Source organism: Homo sapiens, chromosome 14, assembly GCF_000001405.40.
Source record: "Homo sapiens chromosome 14, GRCh38.p14 Primary Assembly".
Classification (NCBI taxonomy): Eukaryota; Metazoa; Chordata; class Mammalia; order Primates; family Hominidae; genus Homo; species Homo sapiens.
Window position 1 is genome coordinate 81,499,860 of NC_000014.9, and position 25,746 is coordinate 81,525,605.

A 25,746-nucleotide genomic window follows, 5' to 3' on the forward strand; every position below is an offset into this window, starting at 1 on the left:
TTAAATGTAGCATTATTTTAAAAAAAATTTTATTTATTTGTGGCTTTTTTTTTTTTTTTTTTTTGAGACAGGGTATCACTCTGTCATCCAGGCTGGAGTGCAATGGCACGATCCTGGCTCACTGCAACCTTCGCCCACTGGGTTCAAGTGGTTCTCCCACCTCAGCCTCCCAAGTAGCTGGGACTATGTAGAGGCGTATGCCACCACGCCCAGCTAGTTTTTGTACTTTTTGGTAGAGACAGGGTTTCACCATGTCAGCCAGGCTGGTCTTGAACTATTGACCTCAAGTGATCCACCCGCCTCAGCCTCCCAAACTGCTGAGATTACAGGGGTAAGCCACTGTACCCGGCCACAATTAAATGTAACTTTATTTTTATTAATTTATTTTTTCCGAGACAGAGTCTTGCTCTGTCGCCTAGGCTGGAGACCAGTGGTACAATCTCGGCTCACTGCAGCCTCTGCCTCCCAGATTCAAGCAATTCTCCTGCCTCAGCCTCCCGAGTAGTTGGGATTACAGGTGCCGCCACCATGCCCAGCTAATTTCCTTTTTGTATTTTTAGTAGAGACGGGGTTTCACCATGTTGGCCAGGCTGGTTGTGAACTCTTGACCTTGTGATCTGCCTGCCTTGGCCTCCCAAAGTACTGGGATTACAGGCATGAGCCACCACGCCCAGCCAAATGTAACTTTAAACAAGACAAAAAGTTTAGCTTGAGGACAATTTAATACTAACTAGAAAGACAAAGCTGAATACATGTAAACATGACTTTATCTTTATGAACAGCCATTATGAAGACAACTCCCGCTATAGGTACATCAGCATATTTCTCTATATATGCAGAAAGGAATACACTATGAAAACAGACAAGATATGAATTACCAAGATAAACTATCTCAGATATAAAAAGGAGGAGCAAGGGGTCAAGCTGAAGAGGTCAAGGGAAAAAGGCTGCTCTACAATGTTAGAGCACACATGATTTTCTAAAAATAAAAACACAAAAATGGAAGAAATAATGCATTGGTGAAGTTCAACCTTTTCAACCCTTTGCCTTCTATGGATCATCCTTGATGATAGGAAAGTATAAGCTAACATGACAAAGGCAGGTGTGGCAGAGACTGGAGTGCTCACTGAAATCATGAGCTCCTCTACGTTTTCCAGCCTCTCCGTAGAATCACATGCCTGGGGTATGGCTGTCAGGGATGTAAGCCTGAAAACACCCTAATGAATCCTGAGGCTCTCTTTTCTCACTTCATCATGGCATGGAAGCCCCGTGTAGCAATCAGTGTAGCTACATAATAGAAACAGCCCATGACCAGGAGTCACTACTCAGAAAAGAGTGATGCCAACAGGAGAGCTACATCAAATCTAGCATGAGCAAGAAATAACTCTCTGTAGTGTTAAGCCACTGTGATTTGCGGGTTTTGTCTGTTGCATCAACTAGAACTAATTTTCATGGAGAGGGTGCTTTGCAACATATAAAGTGCTGTGGCTTTGTAAGGTTCTAATATTAGAGGGAACTGATGCCTTATAAAGTAAAACCGTTCTTCAGAGCAGAATACCTCTGAAAATAAGAATATATATGTTTTTATATAAACTGATTCACGCAAAGAAGAGAAAAACCTTTGAAAACAAAGGGGAACAATTAAGATATAATCTGCTTATAATAAAATACCGAGGAAAGAGCTGCAGAATTGTTAGGTATTCAGTTCTAAGAAAACAACTGTTATGACTCCTGTTATTGTTTATATAGTTTGAAAACAGACTTCCCTTGTGATTAGATATTTCACTTATCTTTAAGCAAGTCTCGCAGCTTGAATAAGCTTGAATTATTGAAGGAATTTTAAATAAATATGATGGCCCCCTAAATCCAGGTGTCAATCTTAGCATTATTAATGGGGAAACAACCAGATATGTTAGCAACTGATGTGATACAATGTAGAATACAGAACATCCCTTGTAATGTAGTCTAGCCAAAAATATTTTACTTGTATTCATCAGCCTTTAGCTGTGACATCCTATTGACAGGAAATACAGGTGATGAAGAAACAAACTAAAAGCCACCATGAAAACAAACTGAGGTAGGATATTCTGCAGAAAAACTGGCCCTATCTCTAATATAGACAAAAAAGGCATTGGGGTATACTAGATAACAACCAAATGTAAGGTAGAGTCCTGGATTGAATACTGGTTTGGACAAAACAGGTATAAAGAAAATTTTTGGGTTCAACATCATATGAACATAGTGTGGGTATTATATGACTTAAAATGTGCTGGGATGAAAAGGTGAAGTTCCAGAACAATAGACAGTGATATCTCATTTTAATAAAAATATCGTGTATATATACACAAAGAGAAAGATCTATTACAGAAAGATATGCATGCACACTAATATATTATTACTCATATTTGGGTGGTACATATGTGATGTGTACTTCTTAGTTTTGTTAGTTTGTATTTCTAGTTTCCTATAATGGACATGTACTGCTTCTGTAATAAAATACTTTTTTAAAAAAACACCAAGATTAACATGAGCTGCAACATCTGAACTTTGGAAAAATGCAATGGTGAGTAATTTCAGATAAAAAGTAATTATCTTCATATTTCATTCTCTACAGATCTAATTTGGAAGAGTACAAATGTAATTGTAGCAAGGCACAACTGCAAAAATGTCTTCCATGACCATAAATGTTCCCAGACTAAGGAAAAAGACTATCCAAGAAGACTGATAAAATGGTCAGCCACAAAATTGGTATTTATCTTCCAGTCTGACTTTTTAAAAGAAGTCAGGACATAGAGAGTAAACTGCTTTTAAAACTAACAAGTGTTACATGCAGAGAGATTCTTCACTGAGAATGTACTTACAGTCTGTCCCTTGGGAGAGCCTTCCTCAGTCAGCTTCTCAAACATCTCTCTCGCTGCCTGGATATTCTGTGGCAAGTAATCACCAAATAAAAGAGCATATGACACTCTCTCCAGGGCTTTGGTATGGTTCATGCTTGCTGCCTTTTGGAGATACCGATATGCTCTTCAAATGTAAACAATTAAAAACCAAATTAGTAATGTTTTGAAACTGCCATTAAGTTTTTTTGATCTACTAAAACGCAACATAAATAATTTCCTTATGTTACAAAACCCCTTTGATAATCTTTTTGAGATGGAGTTTCACTCTTGTTGTCCCGGCTGGAGTGCAATGGCATAATCTCGGTTCATTGCAACCTCCACCTCCCAGGTTCAAGCAATTCTCCTCCCTCAGCCTCCCAAGTAGCTGAGATTACAGGCGTGCGCCACCGTGCCTGGCTAATTTTGTATTTTTAGTAGAGACGGGGTTTCACCATGTTGGTCAGGCTGATCTCGAACTCCTGGTCACCTCAGCCTCCCAAAGTGTTGGGATTACAGGCGTGAGCCACCACGCCTAGCCACCCCCTCTGATAATCTTATTTCTATTCAGTCATATTACTTATACATGTAAAAAACATCCCTTTTTTTAATTTTTTTTTGAGACAAGGTCTTCCTCTGTTGCCCAGGCTGGAGTGCAGTGGTGTGATCACAGCTCACTGCAGCCTCTCTACCTTCCAAGTTCAAGTGATCCTCCTACCTCAGCCTCCCAAGTAGCAGGGACCACAGTGTGCACCATCATGCCTGGCTAATTTTTAAATTTTTTTTAGAGACAGGGTTGCACTATGCTGCCCAGATTGGCTAGCTATTTTGTTTTTCATATAAGGTACCAGTTCTCCCTGTTATCCTAATATCTTGAAATAGTCTAATTATACTAACAGTAATTTTAAAAACTTCTATTAAAAAAAGTTAACCGATTTGCAATAAGAGAATATGATGGTGTCCAGTATACGATCTAATAATAACTGTTGCAATTTTCTTTTTAAATCTTTGCAGACTATAAAAATGTCAGCTGAAATTAAAAGGACATAAGATGTTACGAGATAATCACTTGTTCTGTTTTTTCCAAGCACAAATTCCTAAATTCCAGTCAAAAATTACAAAGCAAAAACAAAAAACGTACTTGACAACAATTCTTTTTGTTTTATGTCATTTTGAATTCTAAATAGTATATGCATGCTTGGTTCTTAGAAACTACTACAACTTGAGTCAATCATTGCCATTTTACTCATTGTTTGTTACTGTAATCAGTATAACAATTTTACCTTAACTAAAGTGTGGTAAAAGCAATGCTACTAATGCCCGTAAGTTATATTACATTTTTTTGTAATGGAACTTAAAAAAATCTTCTGCGTCTCTGGCAGTGCACTTTTTAAAGAATGTAGTTGCTATTTGTCTCAGTAATGGCCTGTCATGGGGGAAAAGTGGACTTAGCAGTGCTACCTACTCTCTTTTTTGGCTTTTCTTATTGCTTCCATTAAGGATTTTCATTCCAGTTTGATACATCATTTCTGCTTCCTGCATCTGCCGTCTCTTAGCAGCCTCTTCTTCAGCTAAAAACAAAACGTCAGATGCATTTAAATGGATTTTAATTCTATCAATTATCAACCATTAGTATTCTTTCTTTTGGGCAGTCATACAAACAAAATGAATGATCTTTCACTATTCCCAAACATGATTCTAAAAACACTTAAGTGTGGCCTTTACATGACACAAGATAAAACTTAAAAAAAATATATATATATATACACACATATATAAAATTCACTGAAATCACTTTTTTATAGAAATACCAATACCAAGCCACTCTTAGAGGGTACTTTTCTGTTGGTAATGCTAACTTTTTAAATATAATTCAACTAAAATTTCAGATTATATGTGATATGGTTTGGATCAGTGTCCCCACCAAATCTCACACTGAATTGTAATCCCTGGTGATTACAATCTCTCTCACCTGTAAGGCCTGGTGAGAGGCGACTAGATCATAGGGGTGGTTTTTCATGAATGGCTTAGCACCATCCCCTTGGTGCTGTTCTTGTGATAGTAAGTTCTCACGAGATCTGGTCATTTGAAAGTATGTGGCACCTTGCTCCTCATCATCTCTCTCGTTCCTGCTCCCACCATATGAGACGGCTGCATCTCATATGGTAAGTTTCCTGAGGCCTCCCAAGAAGCCAAGCAGATGCCAGCATCATGCTTCCTGTACAGCTTGCAGAACTGTGAGCCAATTAAGCCTCCTTTATTAATAAATTTCCCAGTCTCAGGTATTTCCTTACAGCAGTGTGAGAATGGACTAACACAATATGCCAAGGTCAGCTAAAATAAGGTCAAGACATACGAACACAGTAGTCAGAAAAATACTGTTGGGATCAAAGGACACTTTAGCTCTATTGGAAATACTGTATATCTTTACAAGGTGAAAATATTTGATTAACTATATAATACAAGTTAGTAAAAAATTTTTATTAAATATAGAAACTGATTTAATGTTCAAGTTCACCAATTTTTCAAACTGATATAACACTGAAAATCATAGAACTGTTATAGATTTTTCAAAAGTTATTTTGCTACTGTAAGAACTCATCAAAACAAACATTTCATTAGAACCAGTATTTATAGAAACAGAAGCAAATTCTTCTTATAATATAAAAAAATTCTGGTGCATTAACTGGAGTACCCAGTCACGCTGGCCTACATCTAAAGATGGACTATATTTGATGTGCTCTTTTAGGATTGCCCAAATATTCTATAACAGCCATTATTTTTTTAAAAATTGGTATTTAAGGGATTATGTTCAAGATTTTCTGTTGTTTTTTCATAGTTAGGAAGTTTTTCCTGAAAATAGCTTTCCTTAGAGTCAGCATCTCTATAATGACATTTATACTAAAGATGGTTAAATACACTGTATTTGTCAAATGTTACCTTGGTATAGCATATTTCACCTTAAGTATTTTTAAAAAGTTATTTATTTTTCTTCTAATCACTATTAACCTTCTCCATAATGGCCCAGTTTCCTTTACTGCCCCCAAAATGTTTTATGTTTAATAATTTATCAGGCTGCCTGAAGGGTTTAACAAAACAACCTGTGTATACCAATGGAAAACCATCTCTAAATAAAACGTGAGTGTGACTTGAGTGACAGCCTGAAAATAAATACACCAAGTTTCCCACTCTTAAGTCCACTCTTTAAGGCTGTAATGACATCAGCAATGCTGGCCATTTCTGACCAATGTGGAAAAAGGATGGCTAGAAAAAGGCCTTAAAAACATTGCCCTAGACATAAAGCAATGCAGATCTGCCTCCTACTGAGCAATACTTACTTTCACAAAAGCCCCACTTTTCATCTGCTTTGTAGTCATAGGTTGTAGCACACCACAGTCTGCCATCTTCCCTCCCATCTGATGTACATTCATCATACTCCTTATCTAGGAAAAGAAAAGGGAAGTGGCAGGGCTCCCCATGTGCTGTGCCTTCAATGGCGGTCAAAGCTGGAATGACAAGAAATAAAAATCTAAACATGAAACAACACCTCTGGTATTCATGGATTCAATGCCATCAATTTTGGCTGTTGGAATTTGAAGCAAAGATTCATGATGCCTGATTTGTAACTGGGAACATAAAAGGGCTAGCAATGATTTTGATTAGGGAGGACTTGGTTTAGTCAATTTAGTGAGCATGGCTAGCTGACTACATAGCATCTGTGTCTAGGTTAGACTTTCTGAAGTTCCTGATATATAACCTTAGAATATTAAAGGTCTACTGTAAAACTCCTGCCCAAAAAGTAAGCAAAAAATAAGGCAAAATGCAAGTGAATCAATTCTACTGCTCAGCACAGCTCTCCTTGTTTCTGAATGCTGTAAGTCAATTTCTTCAGTAATACAGAGTTACAAAGGGCAAATGCTCCCCCCAAGGCAAAGCTAACCACTCACACACTCCTCTGCAATCCTGTGGCATTTTATTAGAGTACTTATCACATGTATGGAAGTTACTTCTTTACCATACTCTAGTTCCCATTGGACTTTGAGCTTGTTAAGGGTAGAGACTGCATCTGTAATTTATTCTATAAATTATTTATGAGTATCTCTTAGGTGTTGAAAATTATGGTAGGTGCTAGAAATGAGGTGCATCAGAGATCTTTGCTACACACAACTTACTGCCTAGCCAGGAAGAGAGATACTAAGCAAATGTGTGATGGATGCTATGGAAAGGAAAGCCTCCCCTCTCAGGAACTGAGGTTTCAATTGAACCTGAAGGGCGTGCAGGAGTAGCAGTGAATGAAAGGCTCATGGGTGGGGTGGGTAGGAGTACTCAAACAGATTGGTGCTAAGGTGACAAGAATCAAATGAATGGCAAAGTGGACAACAGAAGAGGCTAAAGCAGCATGAGGAAGACAGACTGGGGAAGACCTTACATGTCTTAAGGAGTTTGAACTTTTATCCTGAGAACAATGGAAACTCACTGAAAAGTTTTGCATAGGAGTGACATGCTCACATTTTATTAAAAGAGTGGAAAGTATGTAAAAAGTAAGGCTGGATGCAAGGTGACCAGTTTAAAGGTTGTTAACAGTCATCTGAGAAGCAATGGTAGCCCAGAGAGGGGAATGGAATGGAAGATGTGGATGTACTCAAGTGATTCTAAGGAGGTAGATATGGTACCACTTTCTAGATGTGTGGATAAGAGGAAAGTTGAGTCAAGGAAGATACCCAGGTGCGTTAGGGGTACATAGATGGCTGCCCTTACTAAGATACAGAATTCTAAAGGAGGAGTAGGTTACTGGGTAGGTACTGCTACATTCAAGGTGGCTATTAAAAAAACAAACAAACAAAAAACAAAGAAAAAACCCACACAAAAAAAACAGCAAAAACAAAAAATAAGTGAAAATGTCTTAAACATGTTTCAGTTACAGCTAAAAAAAAAAAAAAAAATTCTCCAGTACACAGATAACACTTGAATTCAAGGGTATGCCTAAGAATGCTGCATGAGAGGTATATGAGAAGACCAGAGGTCCAGGACTAAGCCTAAAACTGTACACAGTAGGTATGAGCCCATGTCAACTTCCACTGGTTGCTTTTACATGGAGAATTTAATTGGGTAGCAGAGCTCGGTCATGAAGGGTATAGATTCCGGGGTCAGAACATTTGATGCAAATCCTACCACTTATTAGCTGTGCACTTTGAGCAAATTATTTAATCTCTTAAGATTACTTAGAGATAACATCCTTATCTCCAAATAGGAATAACAGTCCTTATTGTTTGCAAAGACTGACTGAGATAATACATGTAAAGGACTCATTATGGTGCCTATCACTTTAGGTAATAAGAGTTCAAGAGATGACAGCTGCTATTATTATGGGCATCCCTGCTCTGAAGGCTAGAAAGTATCCCTTCTATCTTTCCAGTGTGAAAAAAGACATATCCTACAATACTAAATTAAAACATACTTTCAATAAGCTATGAAAGACAAAATGAATTTCAAATGGTTTACACCAGGTAAATGTCACTCATCATCCTGGTAATAAGAGGCAAATAACTTTTTTTACCTTTGCTTTGTCTATGTTTTAAAGAAAGGATCTCTAATGCAATGTATAGGCAAGGAATCCTTTAGCAACAACTTCAGAGGAGTCATTCTGACTACAGAATTTGGAAAGGACATCCCTATACACTGCTACTAGATCCAAATCTGCCGCTGCTTTAGAAAGACAGTGTCTGAGAGCCAGGCACGGTGGCTCACGCCTGTAATTCCCAGCACTTTGGGAGGCTGAGGTGGGCAGATCACTTGAACCCAGGAGTTTGAGACCAGCCTGGGCAACATGGTGAAACTCTGTCTCTACTAAAAATTCAAAAAATTAGCTGGGTGTGGCAGTGGATGCCTGTAGTCTCAGCTACTGGGGAGGCTAAGGCAGGAGGATCACTTGAACCTGGGAGGCGGAGGTTGCAGTGAGCCGAGAAAGCGTCTGTAGAACTGCAGTTTGTAAACCTGAATTTCAAATTAAATAGCAAATGATGGTTTAAAAGAATTAACACTTCTATGATAATAGAAATCTTTGTCTTAAAAACAAATAACTTATCATAGGAATTCCAGTTTGCCAAAACTTGTATTTTCTAAATGTTTCAAATATATGAAATAATTCCCTTTCATGTGATGAACTATACCACAGAAAAGAAACTGGAGAGAGTAAAAAAAATTTGACAACAAAAGGTTTTCATCTACTGCTGATTCAGCACTGACATAAGGAGGAAGAATCCTCAGGAGGCACTTGCTTCATCAATTTAGTCAAAACTGCAACCTGTCAAAATAATTCATTAGTGAAGAAAATTTGTTTCTCTCAGCTACCTTCTCCAAGGGAAATCACAATATGGAAAGTGTTACTACCTTTTAAACTTGTTCTAAAATCTTCCAAAAGTTACTGATTGGAACTCTCTAGTTTCAAATCGATTATCTCAAACAGAAACTCCTCACAATAGTCTTAATTTCAGTTAATTTTCTTTCTATGGAGAAATCCTGCAATAATTTCAAAGCCATCCTTTTAAAAACCTCCACCAGAAGAGTATCAATTTTAAAAACAAGGTAATCACTGCTCTGGTATAATGAAGCTGACAGGTTATGCAATTTAAATTAGCGATAACCAGTATCAAATCTGACACCGTGAAAGGGAAAAATGGGTTCTCAGTTCTGCAGCTTCATGTAAAAATTCACATTTTCTAGGTAATGAATCATATTTTGGCTCTACAATTAATGACACAGTATCCCAATCTATTTAGACCTCAAGAGGAAGATATTTATAGTACAGAACTTATTGTAATAATGAACAGAATGCTTTACACTTCAACTAGTAGAAATCTGCTCTTGCAAAGTCAATTAAAATCAGTCAAGAAAGTAAGAAAAAGTAAAAAGCAAAATAAAACGGAAAATATGCAGCGTCGGCCAGAAGATGGGTAAATAGGCCCTTTCATACTCTTAGCAAGTGTATGGATTAATACAATCTCTTCAAGAGGGGGCATTTGGTAATATCTGTTAAAATGTAAAGGTCCATATCTTCAGATCCAGCTTTTCCACTTCCAGGATGTTTACTTAAAAAAATGCTCCCATAAACACACAAAGAGATTATGTACAAGAGAATACTTGTACAGTATCCTAATTTTAAAAACATAAAACCAAATGAACTCAAAGATCTACTGATAGGAAACTGGGTAAATACACTATGGGGCAGCCATTAAACGAAAACCGGGGCATCGTCAACACGGAAGGAATTAAAGGTCCCTAGAGAGTAGTGAAGCCAGGGAAGAGGATCAAAGGCTGAGTCCTGAGGCAAGCTCATGTTTCAAGATCAGACAAATTCTAAGGAACCAGCAGCCAACTGAAGAAAGTATCTTCAGGGAAAAGAACACTAGTGAGGGGTTAAGATGAGGATCAGGAACCGACCAGGTATTCAGCAATTAGAATGTGACTAGTGGAGAAGAGTAGATTTAGCAGTCTGGAGGAGGCTCAAGCCTTGCTGGAGCTGGATTACAGAACAGGAAGAGAGAAAGGGAAATCAGTGATTATAGAGAACGATTTCAAAGAATTATGCTATAAAGGGGAGTAGAGGAGTGGGATGGTAGCTGGAGGGGGACTAAGGGATACAAGATTTTTGTTTTTAACAGATAAGATATTACAGTATGCTTGAACATTGAAGGAAAGAATCCAAGACAAAAAAGGTAAACATAGCTAGAATGCTGATCTCTCTCTCTCTCTCTCTCTCTCTCTCTCTCTCTCTCTCTCTATATATATATATATAGACAATTAAAGGCTAGGGGAATATAAGCACATCTTTTTCTCACTTTAAATTGTAAAATCAAAACAGAAAACTAAAAGTTAATTTCTTGATCTATACAGATAAACATAATTTAGCTTTGCAAATTTCTCATTTTAAGAACTTTTACAGTTTACATAGGTGATATTTAAATAAGAAAATTATCTATTAGGCTGTCTCTCTGAAACAATCTGGTACTTCCAAACATAGAGTACTAAGTAGCATATGAATCAAATATACCTGTAGTCAAAGATAGCTGAGAAACAATTATTTAATGTTAAAAAGCTACCAACCTCAAGACAACTGTCATAGTGTTCATCAATTTTAGTAAACACCAACATAAAAGCTCAACCAAGCAAACGATTGTCACCAAAAAAAATCTCCCAAGGACTATGAACAAAGCACCAGTACATATGGTTTAAAGGAAACAAAGTACCTGACTTAAAGTAAGTGATATAGGCCAAATGATACAGGCAATATTTTACTGTTGTCTGGGAATATGCTATAGTAATATTTTGGGGAAAATACCAATGGTATGTAATTTGCTACAGACTGCTTTCACCAAAAGTTGAAAACTGCTAAATAAGGTCTAGAAACTATCTTTGTAAATAAACACACGCTATACGAAGAAAGCCACCACTTTACAGATTAAAATGTATTTTTCAGAAGATGTATTCATATGCAGAATGAACAAAACGTTAAGATCAGGGTTCATACAAAGCTCAGCTCTTTCTGTGAGAAGCAACTAATCATTTTAAAATACAAAGAGAAAGCAGCACAATCACTGGCCCATGTGACCAGAATAAAGTGGCAAACTTCATATTAATCAGGTGACAGGCACTGTCAAAAACCATCCAGAGTAAAACTTGCTCAGGAAAGCTGCTGTTTAAGAACAGTGGGTTTCTCTAAACAACGGCTTTAAAGACACGTGAGTTTTCAAAGCTGTGGTGTGGCTGGGATCTACAAGGATGGTCTCCTAAAGGAGTTTCCTTGCACAAATAATTTGCTTGTAAAACCAAATCAAACCAAAGAAACAATAACAAAAAAAGCCTTTTCATGAAAGTCAGGACCTGTTGCAGGCAACTGCCTATTCTTCTATCTTCTGTTTAATATGATTGCTAGGTTAAAGGTCGTTCCTTCCCTGCCATCCCCATTTAAGCAACAATGAAGTAGAAATGCCATTCTGTTGCTCAACAAACTTGCTTCAGAACCCAATTTTAAGCAAGATGTAGTCAGTTTAAACTCAGTTCCTTTTGTGCCATTTGAAATAGATCAAGATGCCAATTACTCTATTTTTCTTTTTTAAGGCTATAAGGATGTGTTTACTGCAGAGACAAACAGTAAGAAAGTATACAAAATTAAAGAAAAATGACAGTTATCTTTACCTATCACTTCAAGTTATTTCTGTCAAGAGGTAATGACAGTTACTGAAAAAAGAAGTTCTGGACCTTTTTCATTTGCAAACTTATTTTTACAAATGGCTTCTTTTCACATAAAGGATTTGTGATGGTTTAATTTTGTGTGTCAACCTGGCTGGGCCATAGTGCCCAGATATTGAGTATATCATTGTTCTGGAAGTTTCTATGAAGGTGATTTTTGGATGAAATTATTTAAATTGGTGGACTTTGAGTAAAGCAGATTATCCTCCATGATGTGGACAGACCTCACCCAATCAGTTGAAGGACTGAGCAGAATGAAGACTGAACCCTATGAGGAAGAAATTCTCCAAGCAAATGGCCTTTGGTTCTGTTTCTCTGGAGAACTGTGACTAATACAGGATCATACTAACTGAACTACTTTTCAATAGGACATTTTTTTGCTTAACATATCATTGACATTCTTGTAGGTGGCAGACAGGGCAGACTGCCTCATTACTGATTCTGAACCACTTCCCCAGGAGAAATAGTTTCAGAATTCTCCTAGTGTCTTCTGAAAATGCTTCTGCTCTTCTGATGCAGGCAACACTTCTTCCTGAGGACCCAGGCCCTGAAGGTGCAGCCACTATCAGATTTGACCACATGGAACAAACATGAGGATGAAGCCAGTCTACTGAGGAGCTGAACAGGAAGAAAGGGAGAGCTGGAGTCTCTGATGGCACAAGTCCTGAACTGCCTATCTGTGAGTTCTAGTTACATGAGCCAAATAAACTTCTGGTTCTGCCATTGTCTGATGGATTTTTTTATTTACAACAAAACCTGTTCCTTTTAAAATGGCTATGGGTATTCTATAATAGGGAATACCACAATGTAATCATTCTCCTTATGATGGCGTTTTAATTATTCATTCATGATCAACAAATGTTTATTGAGATGATATGCAGAAAACAGTTAACACAGCAAGCCTGACTAGTTATCTTTTGAAAGACCGCTTATCATGTGGCCCTCGGCTGCTATCTACAAACTTAGATTTTGGAAGGGTTCCCACTGAGAGGTGAAGCCAGCTGGGCTTCTGGGTCAGGTGGGGACTTGGAGAACTTTTCTGTCTAGCTAAAGGATTGTAAACACACCAATCAGCACTCTGTGTCTAGCTGAAAGTTTGTACATGCACCAATCAGCACTCTGTAAGAACGCACCAATCAGTGCTCTGTGTCTAGCTAAAGGTTTGTAAACGCACCAATCAGCTCTCTGTAAAATGGACCAATCAGCGCTCCGTAAAATGGACCAATTAGCAGGACATGGGCAGGGCCAAATAAGGGAATAAAAGCTGGCCACCTGAGCCAGCAGTGGCAACCCCCTCGGGTCCCCTTCCACACTGTGAAAGCTTTGTTCTTTCGCTCTTCACAATAAATCTTGTTGCTGCTCACTCTTTGGGTCCGCACTACCTTTATGAGCTCTAACACTCACTGCGAAGGTCTGCGGCTTCACTCCTGAAGTCAGTGAGACCACGAACCCACAGGAGGAACAAACAACTCCAGACGCGCCACCTTAAGAACTGTAACACTCACCGCGAGAGTCCGTGGCTTCATTCTTGAAGTCAGCGAGACCAAGAACCCACCAGAAGGAATAAATTCTGGACACATTTTGGCACCCACGAAGGGACAATCAGCAAGCAGTGAGTACCATCAGACCCCTTTCGTTTGCTATTCTGTCCTACTTTTCCTTAGAATTCGGGGGCTAAATACTGGCACCTGTCAGCCAGTTAAAAGCGACTAGCGCGGCCGCCGGACTAAAGACACGGATGTCAGGCTTTCTGGGAAAGAGCTCTCTAACCACCCCCAACTCTTCGGAATTGGGAGCGTTGGTTTGCCTGGAACCAGCTTCCGCTTTCCCTGTACTTCTCGGCTGAGCCAAGGGTGGACAGAGAGGAAAGCCATTCAGCTCCGGGGTCCCGACAAGTTTGTTGACCCTGTGGCCATGAGCGGAACTCTCGAAGTCACGTCGCCCAAGTGAGACTCGCCCATCTATCCTATCTATCCTGACCCTTGCTTCCTGGGTCCTAATGCTTGTCAGACAAACTTCCTCTCGCCTCTCTTCTCTGAGGCTAGTCCTGCTTCTAAAACAACTCCCTGTCTCTGGTGCTTTTCTAGTTTCTCCTATGAGAATGATTTCTAGTATATACTCCAGGACTCTATTCCCTTCTTTAGGCACCTGGGCTCACTAACCAGAAAGACACAATTTTTGCCCAAAGCCCCATCGGGGCGGGGGACTAACTTATCTGTAATTTTAGGATCCCTCCTCAGGGTAGCAGGCCTAACAAAAGCTATTCCTGAAGCTAGGATATGGGGAGCCTCAGAAATGATATCCTTCCTATTCAAGTGAGGACAAAAGGCATCACTCTTCCAACTCTGGAGATCCCTCCCCTCCCTTAGGGTATGGCCCTCCACTTCATTTTCAGGGCATAACATCTTTATAGGACATGGGTAAAATCCCACTACTAACAGGAGAATGCTTAGGACTCTAACAGCTTTTCAAGAATGCGTTGTTAAGGGTCACTAAATCCGATTTTTCTCAGTCCTCTTTGGGGTCTAGGAGGACAGACAAGAGTGCAGGATTTTGAGAATGCGTTGGTAAGGGCCACTAAATCCAATCTTCCTTGGTCCTCTTTGTGGTCTAGGAGGAAAACTAGTGTTTCTGCTGCTTTGTCAGTGAGCGCAACTATTCTGATCCGGAGGGTCCAGGGACCCTTGTGGGTTCTTGGGCAGGGAGAGAAACAAACCAAAACCGCGGGCGGTTCTGTCTTTCAGATGGGAAACAGGCATCAATAGGCTCACCCTTGAAATGCATCCTAAGCCATTGGGACCAATTTGACCCATAAACCCTGAAAAAGAGGCAGCTCATTTTTTTCTGCACTATGGCCTGGCCCCAATATTCTCTCTGATGGGGAAAAATGGTCACCTGAGGGAAGTATCAATTACAATACTATCTTGCAGCTTGACCTTTTCTGTAAGAGGGAAGGCAAATGGAGTGAAATACCTTATGTCCAAGCTTTCTTTTCATTGAAGGAGAATCCACAACTATGCAAAGCTTACAATTTACATCCCACAGGAGGACCTCTTAGCTTACCTCCATATCCTAGCCTCCCTATAGCTCCCCTTCCTATTAATGATAAGCCTCCTCTAATCTCCCCTGCCCAGAAGGAAACAAGCAAAGAAATCTCCAAAGGACCACAAACCCCCACAGGCTATTGGTTATGTCCCCTTCAAGCTGTAGGGGAGGGGAATTTGGCCCAACCTGGGTACATGTCCCCTCCTCCCTCTCTGATTTAAAGCAGATCAAGGCAGACCTGGGGAAGCTTTCAGATGATCCTGATAGGTATACAGATGTCCTACAGGGTCTAGGGCAAACCTTCGATCTCACTTGGAGAGATGTTATGTTATTGTTAGATCAAACCCTGGCCTTTAATGAAAAGAATGCAGCTTTAGCTGCAGCCTGAGAGTTTGGAGACACCTGGTATCTTAGTCAAGTAAATGACAGACTGACAGCTGAAGAAAGGGACAAATTCCCTACCAGTCAGCAAGCCGTCCCCAGTATGGATCCCCACTGGGATCTAGACTCAGATCATGGGGACTGGAGTCATAAACATCTGCTGACCTGTGTTCTAGAAGGACTAAGGAAAATTAGGAAAAAGCCCATGAATTATTCAATGATGTCCACCATAACTCAGGGAAAGGAAGAAAATCCTTCTGCCTTCCTCAAGAGGCCTTAAGAGAACATATTCCCCTGTCACCTGACTCACTTGAGGGTCAATTGATTCTAAAGGGTAAGTTTATTACCCAATCAGCCGCAGATATCAGAAGAAAGCTCCAAAAGTGAGCCCTGGGCCCCGAACAAAATCTGGAGGCATTAATAAACCTGGCAACCTTGGTGTTCTATAATAGGGACCAAGAGGAACAGGCCAAAAAGGAAAAGTGAGATCAGAGAAAGGCTGCAGCCTTAGTCATGGCCCTCCAGACAAACAAACCTTGGTGGTTCAAAGAGGACAGAAAATAGAGGAGGCCAATCACCTGGTGGGGCTTGTTATCAGTGTGGTTTGCAAGGACACTTTAAAAAATTGTCCAGTGAGAAACAAGCTGCCCCCTCGCCCATGTCCACTATGCCGAGGCAATCACTGGAAGGTGCACTGCCCCAGAGGACAAAGGTTCTCTGGACCAGAAGCCCCCAACCAGATGATCCAACAACAGGACTGAGGGTGCCCAGGCCAAGCGCCAGCTCACGTCATCACCCTCACCGAGCCCCGGGTACGTTTAACCATTGAGGGCCAGGAAATTGACTTCCTCCTGGACACTGTGGCCTTCTCAGTGTTAACCTCCTGTCCCAGACAACTGTCCTCAAGGACCGTTACCAACCGAGGAATCCTGGGACAGCCTGTAACCAGGTATTTCTCCCACCTCCTCAGTTGTAATTGGGAGACTTTGCTCTTTTCACATGCCTTTGTTATGCCTGGAAGTCCCAGGACCCTTATTAGGGAGCGATATATTAGCCAAAGCTGGAGCTATTATCTACATGAATATGGGGAACAAGTTACCCATTTGTTGTCCCCTGCTTAAGGAGGGAATCAACCCTGAAGTCTGGGCATTAGAAGGAACAAATTCCGGACACGCCACCATTCTAACTTATAAAAGTGTACGGAGCCCAAACCGTACAAACATGTGGTTTACACGCAATACTACCCATTTTTCTTCTGGGATTCTACAGTTTTGGTACATGCTAGCAGAGGGTGATTACAAACTAGTTTTCAATAAAAACTCCAGGCACTGGGTCTCTAACAAGCCTCCCTGGTAGACAACATTTCACATGCGTTGTTACAATTTGCCGCTGGGGTAATTAAGTGATCCTGCATCAGTTCTGAGGGAGAGGACCCTTGGAAGCTTCTACCTTGTTTCCTCCAGACTTCCCCCCCATGTACCTTGCACCTGTGCTGATTTTGCTTTGTCCCCTTTTGCTGTAATAAATCATAGCTGTGAAGGCAACTATATGTCAAATCCCCCTACCAAATCATTAAACCTGGGGATGGTTTAGGGGTTCCCTGACACAGATGCATTAGAAGTGGGATTTGCTAGAATGACCCTGACTCACTGATATATGGTGAAAGCGTTAAGAAGAGGAAGGCTAAAGGGCAGAATATGATGAATCTCTGGGGCCTGAGTGGTCATGGAGTCATCCACAGTATGAAGCAGTAGCTGAGCTGCTGTTTGTTGAGAGCCATAGAATCTGAAAGTAAAAGATCCAGCTCCAGGAAAGCTGGCTTGCTGGATGCCCCTGACTGCTTTTAGTCCTGCTGGCTAAAATGAGGGAAAAGGCAGTGTATTGCAGGTGAGGCCTGTAGTTTTTGTTCTCTCTTCTAGATGGGAAGAGAAAGGACCCCCAAATTCCCAAGGATGGGCCAAACCAAAAACGTTACAAGTTTGAACTGCTCTCTTTAAAAAGTTAAATCTGGTCTGGAACAAAATTTTAGATAAACCAGAAAACAAACAAAAAAACTGGGGGAGGTAACAATCCAGCAGTTTTTTTTCAGCCTGGCTGCTGCTCTTGCTACAATATCCTCCCCCACCTCCCTTCCTCCACTGCATTCCAGGATCTTCCCTGGCAGCTGTAATGTTAACAGTGCAAACACTGAATTTACTGCTAGGAGGCTGAGTAAACTGCAGTAGGGAGAAAAAAGAAAAAGAAGAATATTTTTAAAATAGCTTTATATTTTGTGGCTATTGCATCTAGATGTATTGTAAAAATTAAAATAAAATGTTAAACACCTGTAATTTTGTAAATACCAGAGGAATAATCCTGATCAGGGGAAGCTGCAAAAAAATGTTTAGTGGGACACAACTTCCTTGCTTTTTGCTGCCAGTGAGAGGACTGGAATTTGAACTCTTTTGAGTTTTGGAAACAGAGTATCTGTAATTGATGGTTTGCTTCCAGGGTTACCATGTGTACCCTCTGGGACTGAACTTCTTCTTCTTTTTTTTTGAGACAGTCTCACTCTGTCACCTAGGCTGGAGTGCTGTGGCATGATCTTGGCTCACTGCAGCCTCTGTCTCCCAGGCTCAAGCGATTCTCATGCCACCATACCTAGCTAATTTTTTATATTCTTACCAGAGATGGGGTTTTGCAATATTGGCCAGGCTGGTCTTGAACTCCTGGCCTCAAGTGATCCACCTGCCTTGGCCTCCCAAAATGCTGGGATTACAGGCATGAGCCACTGCGCCCGGCTTGGGACGGAACTTCTTGTACTCTGACTCTCATGAGACTGACTCAGCCCTGGAAAGCTTTTAGGTCAGCTTCCACTTACTAGGCCACAGTTGTGCTGCAGCTGATTAAAAAAAAAAAAAGTTAATACAGAAACTTAAGACCACGTACAAAAACAAATAATAGGTAAAATGTGTTTTAAAAAAGGTAGGCCGGGTGCGGTGGCTCACTCCTGTAATCCCAGCACTTTGGGAGGCCGAGGTGGGTGGATCACCTGAGGTCAGGAGTTCGAGACCAGCCTGGCCAACCTGGTGAAACCCCATCTCTACTAAAAATATAAAAATTAGCTGGGTGTGGTGGCAGGTGCCTGTAATCCCAGCTGCTTGGGAGACTGAGGCAGGAGAATCGCTTGAACCCAGGAGGCGAAGGTTGCAGTGAGCAGAGATCATGCCACTGCACTCCAACCTGGGGGACAAGAGCGAGACTTCGTCTAAAAAAAAAAAAAAAAAAAAAGGTAAAAAGATTAGAAAGGTTAAAACTTAGGGAGGAAGCCTATTGTTTTTCTAAGATAGACCATTATGATAAATGGGAATTGTTTTAACTGGCTAAGTCCAGGCCTCCTAAAAGGCATACCTAAAATCAATATTGCAGGCTGGTCTCACTACTATCTGGGTCTTATTGGTAACTCTGCTATAAAGATGCCTTGGCCAATGACCTAGGGAGTAGACTGTGCAGAGAAGAGTTAAAAAAACAGACATAAACTTCTCTCTTTGAGAAGGCTGGCTTCCAAGGTTGGCCCTTGGTTAGCATCTGGAAATTTAGATTTCTGGAGAGTTCTCACCATCCTACAGATAAGAGTGGCTCACCCAAACTGTACAATGTTGAACACCTGCTTTCCTTCTGCAAGTTTGGTACATGCCAGGAAGAGACTGCCAACTTAACCAGCCCCCAATAAAAACTCTAGTTCTCTAATAAGCTACCTGGGTGGAAAACATTTCACATGTGTTATCTTAACTTGTTGCTGCTGGATTTAAGCACTCCGTGTGACTCCTCCGGGAGAGGACCCTTGAAAGCTTACATCTGGTTTCCCCTACACTTCATTCCATACTTTTCCTTTGCTGATTTTGCCTTCTAGTCTTCCACTATGACAAATTATAGCTGTGAACACAACTCTACACTGAGTCCTTTGAGTCAGCATAGATTTACTAGGAACACTTCCTACCAAATTACTGCACCTGAGGGTGTGGTCTTGGGGTTCCCCAACACAACTGGGAATAAGTGTGAAATATTCAAGAAATAGCAAGAGGGCAAGTTTGGTGGGAGTCACCTAAAGGGGAGTGGCAGAAGAGTTAGTTAAAGAGACAGGAAGGGCCTGATGTCAGGCCTTGTAAATAGAAGAAGTTTGGATTTTACTTTGAGTAGGACCGGAAGCCAAAGGAGGTTTCTGAGCAGGAAGTAGTCTCAGTCTGGCTGCTGTTAGGGAACTGATAGTGGGGGAAAGAGCAAAAGGAAGAAGGCCAGATAGGAAGCTCTTACATATAGTAAACACTTTGGTTCAGGAACCACTTCAGAAAGGAGAAAACCTACATTTATTTTTAAGAATGAACAGAAATTTGTGACAGTGGATTTGGGCAAAGGAATGAGGAAGGCATCCTAAACAGTGAGGAGAATCTGTACAAAGGCCCAGGGGCATAAACTGTTATGTTGTGTTTGGAGAACAGAAAAGGGTTTTGTATTGCTGAAAAAGGCTGCTTAGGGAAGGGGTACACTGAAGGCTCTGTGAATCATGCTAAGGACTGCATACTTCATCTCTCAGGCAAACAGGGAAGTAATGGAGGCCTGTAAACAGGGGAGTTATGGGGTCAAATTTGAGTTTGAGAAAGATTAATATGGTAGCAACATGATTGAGAGGCTGACAAAGGGCAAAAGTTTCAAAGTAACTGTCACATAACCCAGTTCTAGTGTAGCTGGAACTGTACACAGAGCCATATATATGCAATTTATGTCATATATATGCATAAGTACTTAAGCATTTTCATATATTAAGAATAAATTAAAAACAAATCTAAATCATTATTGAAAAGTGAAAACTGGTACAAATTAATCTAAATGTTTATAAAGTTGTTGATATAACCAGAGAATTATTAGTGATTTTAAAACACTGTATTATTACAAGTCCCTAGCAAAATATATACCAAGAATAAGAAGGACCATAAAGGAATCTTGGGCTGCATTCTGTGGTCCCACAGTTAGTGGTAAGGGCCACTGTTATTTTGAAACTATATATGCATATTTATTATGATAAAACAAAATAACATTAATGTCATTAGGTACTAAGATTTTCAGCACCAGTGAAAGGAGATAACACAAAAGAAGCAAAAACTCTGATAAGGTGGAAAGGGCTCGCAGCAGACCTGTAGTCTGTTCTTTCTTCTCACTGGCCCAAAACAGAGTGAGCAGATACCTCTCTCCAAGCATCATCAAATCACCTTAGAAATATGGTAAAGAGAGACCTCTGGCAAACACACTGAAGGTATTTACTATTGGAAGAGTCCTTGCTTATGAAATGCTTCAGCAGGATGAACTTGATCTGTCTACATTGCTCATTATACAAAAACCTGGGATGTATGTAGGCATGACTCTCTAGAAAATATCACATACACTATGTAATTATCAAAGAAGAAACCAGTGATGTCTCATGTCGGAAACAGCTTTCTTTCGTGGAATTGACACTCTACAGGCATTACTTAGAGGCCTTGAGTGTTGAACTCTGGGCTGGAGCACAGTCTAATTGAGGAAAGAAACGACCCGAGAGCAGCTCTGGCAGTCACAGACTTCTCTACACCCCGCTCACGTCTTATGATAATTTTATCTTTGAAAATATTTGCCAAGCTTGATACTAGGTTAGGATCTCTGATTCTTGTAAGTTCAATTTGTCAATCTGATTTTTGTTATCTTGCCTGTAATATTTAATTTGAACTAGAAGTTATCGGTATGAAAGATACATTTCCTAACCCAATGCACCAAAAAGGCCTATAAGTAATGAAAATTTAGCAATGCAGATCACTGGTGCTTATATTATCTAACCCACCAAAAGCAATCTGGGTTCCTTGGAGAAATAGCTGACTTTCATTTCTGGGTCAAGAAATGTACAAAATAAGTTTAGGACATCCTTGTTCTGCCTGGAAAAAAAAAGTTACGAAAGATCACCAGGATCTAGTCAAAAAGACAAAGGAATGATTACCAATGGCCAAAAAAGGAAAATTCTGAGCAATCAACAAAAAAGAATGATTGCAATGAACAAAAATATGATCATGTGACACATCATAACTTCTTGGCCAATGACAGACTGTGTATACCATGGTGGTCCCATAAGATTATATCGCTGACAAATTCCTATCACCTAGTGATGTCCTAGTCATTACAACACTGTAGCACAATCCATTACTCATGTTTTTGTAGTGAAACTAGTGTGAATAAACCTACTGCACTTCCAGTTGTATAAAAGTATAGTAATACAATTACGTACGGTACATAACACTTGATAGTGATAACAAACAACTATGTTACTGGTCTACATATTTACTATACTTTTCATCCTTACTTTAGCATGTACTCCTACTTATTAAAAAAAAAAGTTAACTGTAAAACAGCATTAGGTGTGTCCTTCAGGAAGTACAGGCATCGTTATCATAGGAGATGACAGTTCCATGCCTGTTAATGGCCCTGAAGACCTTCCAATGGGACAAGATGTGGAGGTGGAAGACAGTGATATTGATGATCCTGACCCTGTGTAGGCGTAGGCTAATGTGTATGTTTGTCTTAGTTTTTAACAAAAACGTTTAAAAAGTTAAAAAAAAATTTAAAAATAGAAAACAGCTTATAGAATAAGGATAATATATAAAGAAAATATTTTTGTATAGCTCTACAATGTGTTTGTATTTTAAGCTAAGTGTTACTACAAAATAGTTGAAAAGCTAAAACATAAAAGTTTATAAACTAAAAAAGTTACCATAAACGAAGGTTAATTTACTATTGAAAAAAAATTTTGAAAATAAATTTAGTGCAGCCTAAGTGTACTTGTTTATAAAAGTTTACAGTGGTGTACAGCAATGTCCCAGGCCTTCACATTCACTCAGCACTAACCACTCACTCACAGACTCACCCACAGCAACTTCCAGTCCTGCAAGTTCCATTCATGGGAAGTGCCCTAGACAAGCGTACCATTTAAAAATCTTTTATACCATATTTTTATGTGCTTTTTCTATGTTTAGATAGGTTTAGATATACACATAATTACCACTGTGTTACAGCTGAGTACGGTATTCAATACAATAACAAGCTGTAGAAGTTTGTAGCCTAGTAGCAATAGGCTATAACATATAGCCGAGGTATAGGCTACACTAGCTAGGTTCGTGTAAGTACACTCTATATTTGCACAACGATAAAATTAACTAGTGATGCATTTCTCAGAATGCATCCCCATTGTTAAGTGACACATGACTGTCCCTCAGTATCACTGGAGGACTGGGTCCAGGACCTGGCCTGGTGGTACCAAAATCCATGAGTGCTCAAGTTGTTTAGATAAAATGACGTAGTACTTGCATATAACCTACGCAATCCTCCTGTTTTACATCATCCCTAGACTACTTCTAATACCTAATATAATGGAAATGCTATGTAAATAGTTACGCTACATTGTTCAGGGAATAATGACAAGAACAAAAAGTGTGGACATGTTCAGTACAGTTGCAACCACCCATTTTTTCCAAATATTTTCAAATATTTGGTTGAATCCATGGATACAGAGGGCTGACATGTATGTAAGAATCCATGAATTCATAATGATGCTTGTGATATTGTGAAAAAAATATTTGATCTTCATCCGTTTCCAGAAACATAGCTCTTAAAATCCCTGAAATCTCTTGAGTGATAAGAATGTCTTCTGTATGATAATGAGAAAATTGGTGGCTGGAGGTTCCTAGAGAGCCTTGGGATAGGACTTGGTTGCCAGGGAAACCAACCATTAGATTAGATTAGAGGGTTAGAATTTACAGTCCCATCCCCCAACCTCAGAAGGGCAGAGGAGCTAAAAGTTGAGCCAATAAATCAACGCGCAATGATTTAATCAATTATGCCTGCATAACAAAGCTTCCATAAAAACCCAAAATAGCTGAGTTCTGGGAGTTTCTGGAAAGCTGAGCACATGGAGATTCCTGGAAGGTGGGTGGCGTGATCAGATCAGAGTGGGCATGGAAGCTCTGCAGTCCTTCTCCCATACCTTGCCCTACACCTCTCTTCCATCTGGCTTTTCGTCTCTATCCTTTGTAATATCCTTTATAATAAATGTAAATTTATATTTACATTTACCCATTTATCATGCTTCCCAGAGTCCTAAGTGCTAGCAAATTAATTGAACCCAAGAAGGGGGTTGTGGGAACCCTGATTTATAGCCAGTCTGTCAGAAGCACAGACAACCCGGGGCTTATGATTGGCATCTCAAGTAGCGGGGACTGGTCTTGTGAGACTGAGCCCTAAACTTGTGAGATCTAATGCTATCTCCAGGTAGTGTCAGAATTGAATTAAATCAGCAGACATCCTGCTGGTCTCTGATGGAGAATCCTCTGCAGAACTGATTGCTTACTTGGTATGTGGGGAAATACCCACAACATATCTGGTGTCAGAAGTGTTAACTCAGTGAGAAAGAGAAAGAAAAACACACCTTGGTTTGGTTTTTACTATATCCTTACAATGCTCAAATACAAAGCAAAACAAAACAAATACAAACAAACAAAAACATACTCATTAGTCTCTTTCAGAGATTGCTTGGGCACCAAATTTTCATTTCACAACAGTGCAAAGGAAATAAGAATTTATCTAGCTTTCTCTGGATGAGACTATATTTCAGGGTAATCAAAGACTTGATGAGAGAAAATTCTTTATAAAAGAATCCCAGGTAACAAATGCAGGAGGAATGGTAGAATTAGAAAGTCACCATTTTGCAACCCCTAATAATTAAAAGATCCAGGCAACAAACATAAATGGTTGCCAAAACCCCTAGGCAAAAGATTAATGAGGAACTTTAGAATGGTGAGATCAGGGTGATACCACCTGACCTCGCTAATTAATCTTAACATCAGTAAAAGTGGAAAAATCAGACACTACATGTCTCTCAATGTAAAGCAACAGAAAGTACACACCACCACCTACCTATGAAATACTCTCAATAAAAAGACAGAACCAAATCTACCCATGTCTCTAGAACTAACTCCCAGTTTATAGAATAAACAGCAGATAATGGAACAAGCTCAATGACATTACAAGTTCATGACCAGCAAGATCCAAAACGTGGGAAACTGTATAGCACAAAGGATACTGCATATTTCTTTAGCAAATAAAATGACACTTAAAAACAAAGGAGGGGCTGGGTGCGGTGGCTCACGCCTGTAATCCCAGCACTGTGGGAGGCCAAGGTGGGCAGATCACTTAAGGTCAGGAGTTCGAGACCAGCCTGGCCAACATGGTGAAACCCCAACTCTACTAAAAATAGAAGAAAATTAGCCAGGCATGGTGGTACGCGCCTGGTATCCCAGCTACTCAGGAGGCTGGGGCAGGAGAATCTCTTGAACCCGGGAGGTGGAGGCTGCAGTAAGCCAAGGTCATGCCATTGCACTCCAGACTGGGCAACAGTGCAAGACTCTGTCTCAAAAAAAAAGAACAACAACAAAAGAGGGAGAACAGCAACAGATTAAGAGAAACCTAGGTCTTAGCTTAGAAATGAATTCAAACAAATAAATTGTAAACAGACACTTGAAGCAACTAGAAAAATTAAACAGTCTGGGTATTAGGTAATAAAGGAGTAATGGCTAATTCTGTGATTTTGCTGAAAAGAACATTCTTACTAGAGAGAGACACAGAGATGTAAAAGCACATGCGGAATTTGCCTTAAAATATTCTAGGAAAGAAAAAAAGGGCAAATGTGTGTAGGGTAGTAAAGATGAAAAGACCAGCAGAATGTTGATGTTTATTGAAGCTGAGTGAGGGTTGGTAAGGGGTGTCATTTTACCCTCTACTTTTATGCATGTTTAAAAATTTCCCAGGCTTGATGTAGTGTCTCATGCCTGTAATCCCAGCACTTTGGGAGGCCAAAGAGGGAGATCACCTGAGTTCAAGGCTGCAGTGAACTATGATCGTGCCACTGCACTCCAGCCTGAGTGACAGAGTGAGACCATGTCTCTAAAAATATAAAAACTAAAAAAAAAAAAAAAAAATCCCTAATTAAAAAATGAAGAATGAATTAAATTATATTTAGTAAAAATTTTAAAATGGTAATACACACTTGGGTGAGGTACAGGGAAAGAGGTATTTTCAGAGGAAGTAAACAGAATCACTTTTCTGAAGAACAATTTAACAATGTGTATCTACTGTCTTTTAAACT

The 25,746-nt window shown here is 39.9% G+C and overlaps 1 protein-coding gene across 5 annotated transcripts in view, besides 1 other annotated feature; it reads right to left on the reverse strand.

Moving 5' to 3' along the window:
• The window catches only part of SEL1L (SEL1L adaptor subunit of SYVN1 ubiquitin ligase), a 62,307-nt gene that overhangs the window by 28,313 nt on the left and 8,248 nt on the right, over positions 1-25,746 (reverse strand). For 3 of the 5 annotated variants that reach the window (XM_005267989.5, NM_005065.6, NM_001244984.2), the window contains exons 4-6: positions 6,215-6,382; positions 4,342-4,447; positions 2,862-3,024 (exon numbers count right to left, since the gene is read on the reverse strand). In XM_005267989.5, the coding sequence (XP_005268046.1) occupies positions 2,862-3,024; positions 4,342-4,447; positions 6,215-6,382 (437 nt within the window). The remainder of the gene's footprint in view (positions 1-2,861; positions 3,025-4,341; positions 4,448-6,214; positions 6,383-25,746) is intronic. The other 2 variants (XM_047431676.1, XM_005267988.4) reach the window with 1 other exon arrangement.
• Positions 6,173-6,373: a silencer, noted in NCBI's record as "peak2221 fragment used in MPRA reporter construct". NCBI's record gives its function as "represses an SCP1 promoter by STARR-seq MPRAs in K562 erythroleukemia cells {active_cell/tissue: K562}" and the evidence as "EXISTENCE:reporter gene assay evidence [ECO:0000049][PMID:32103011]".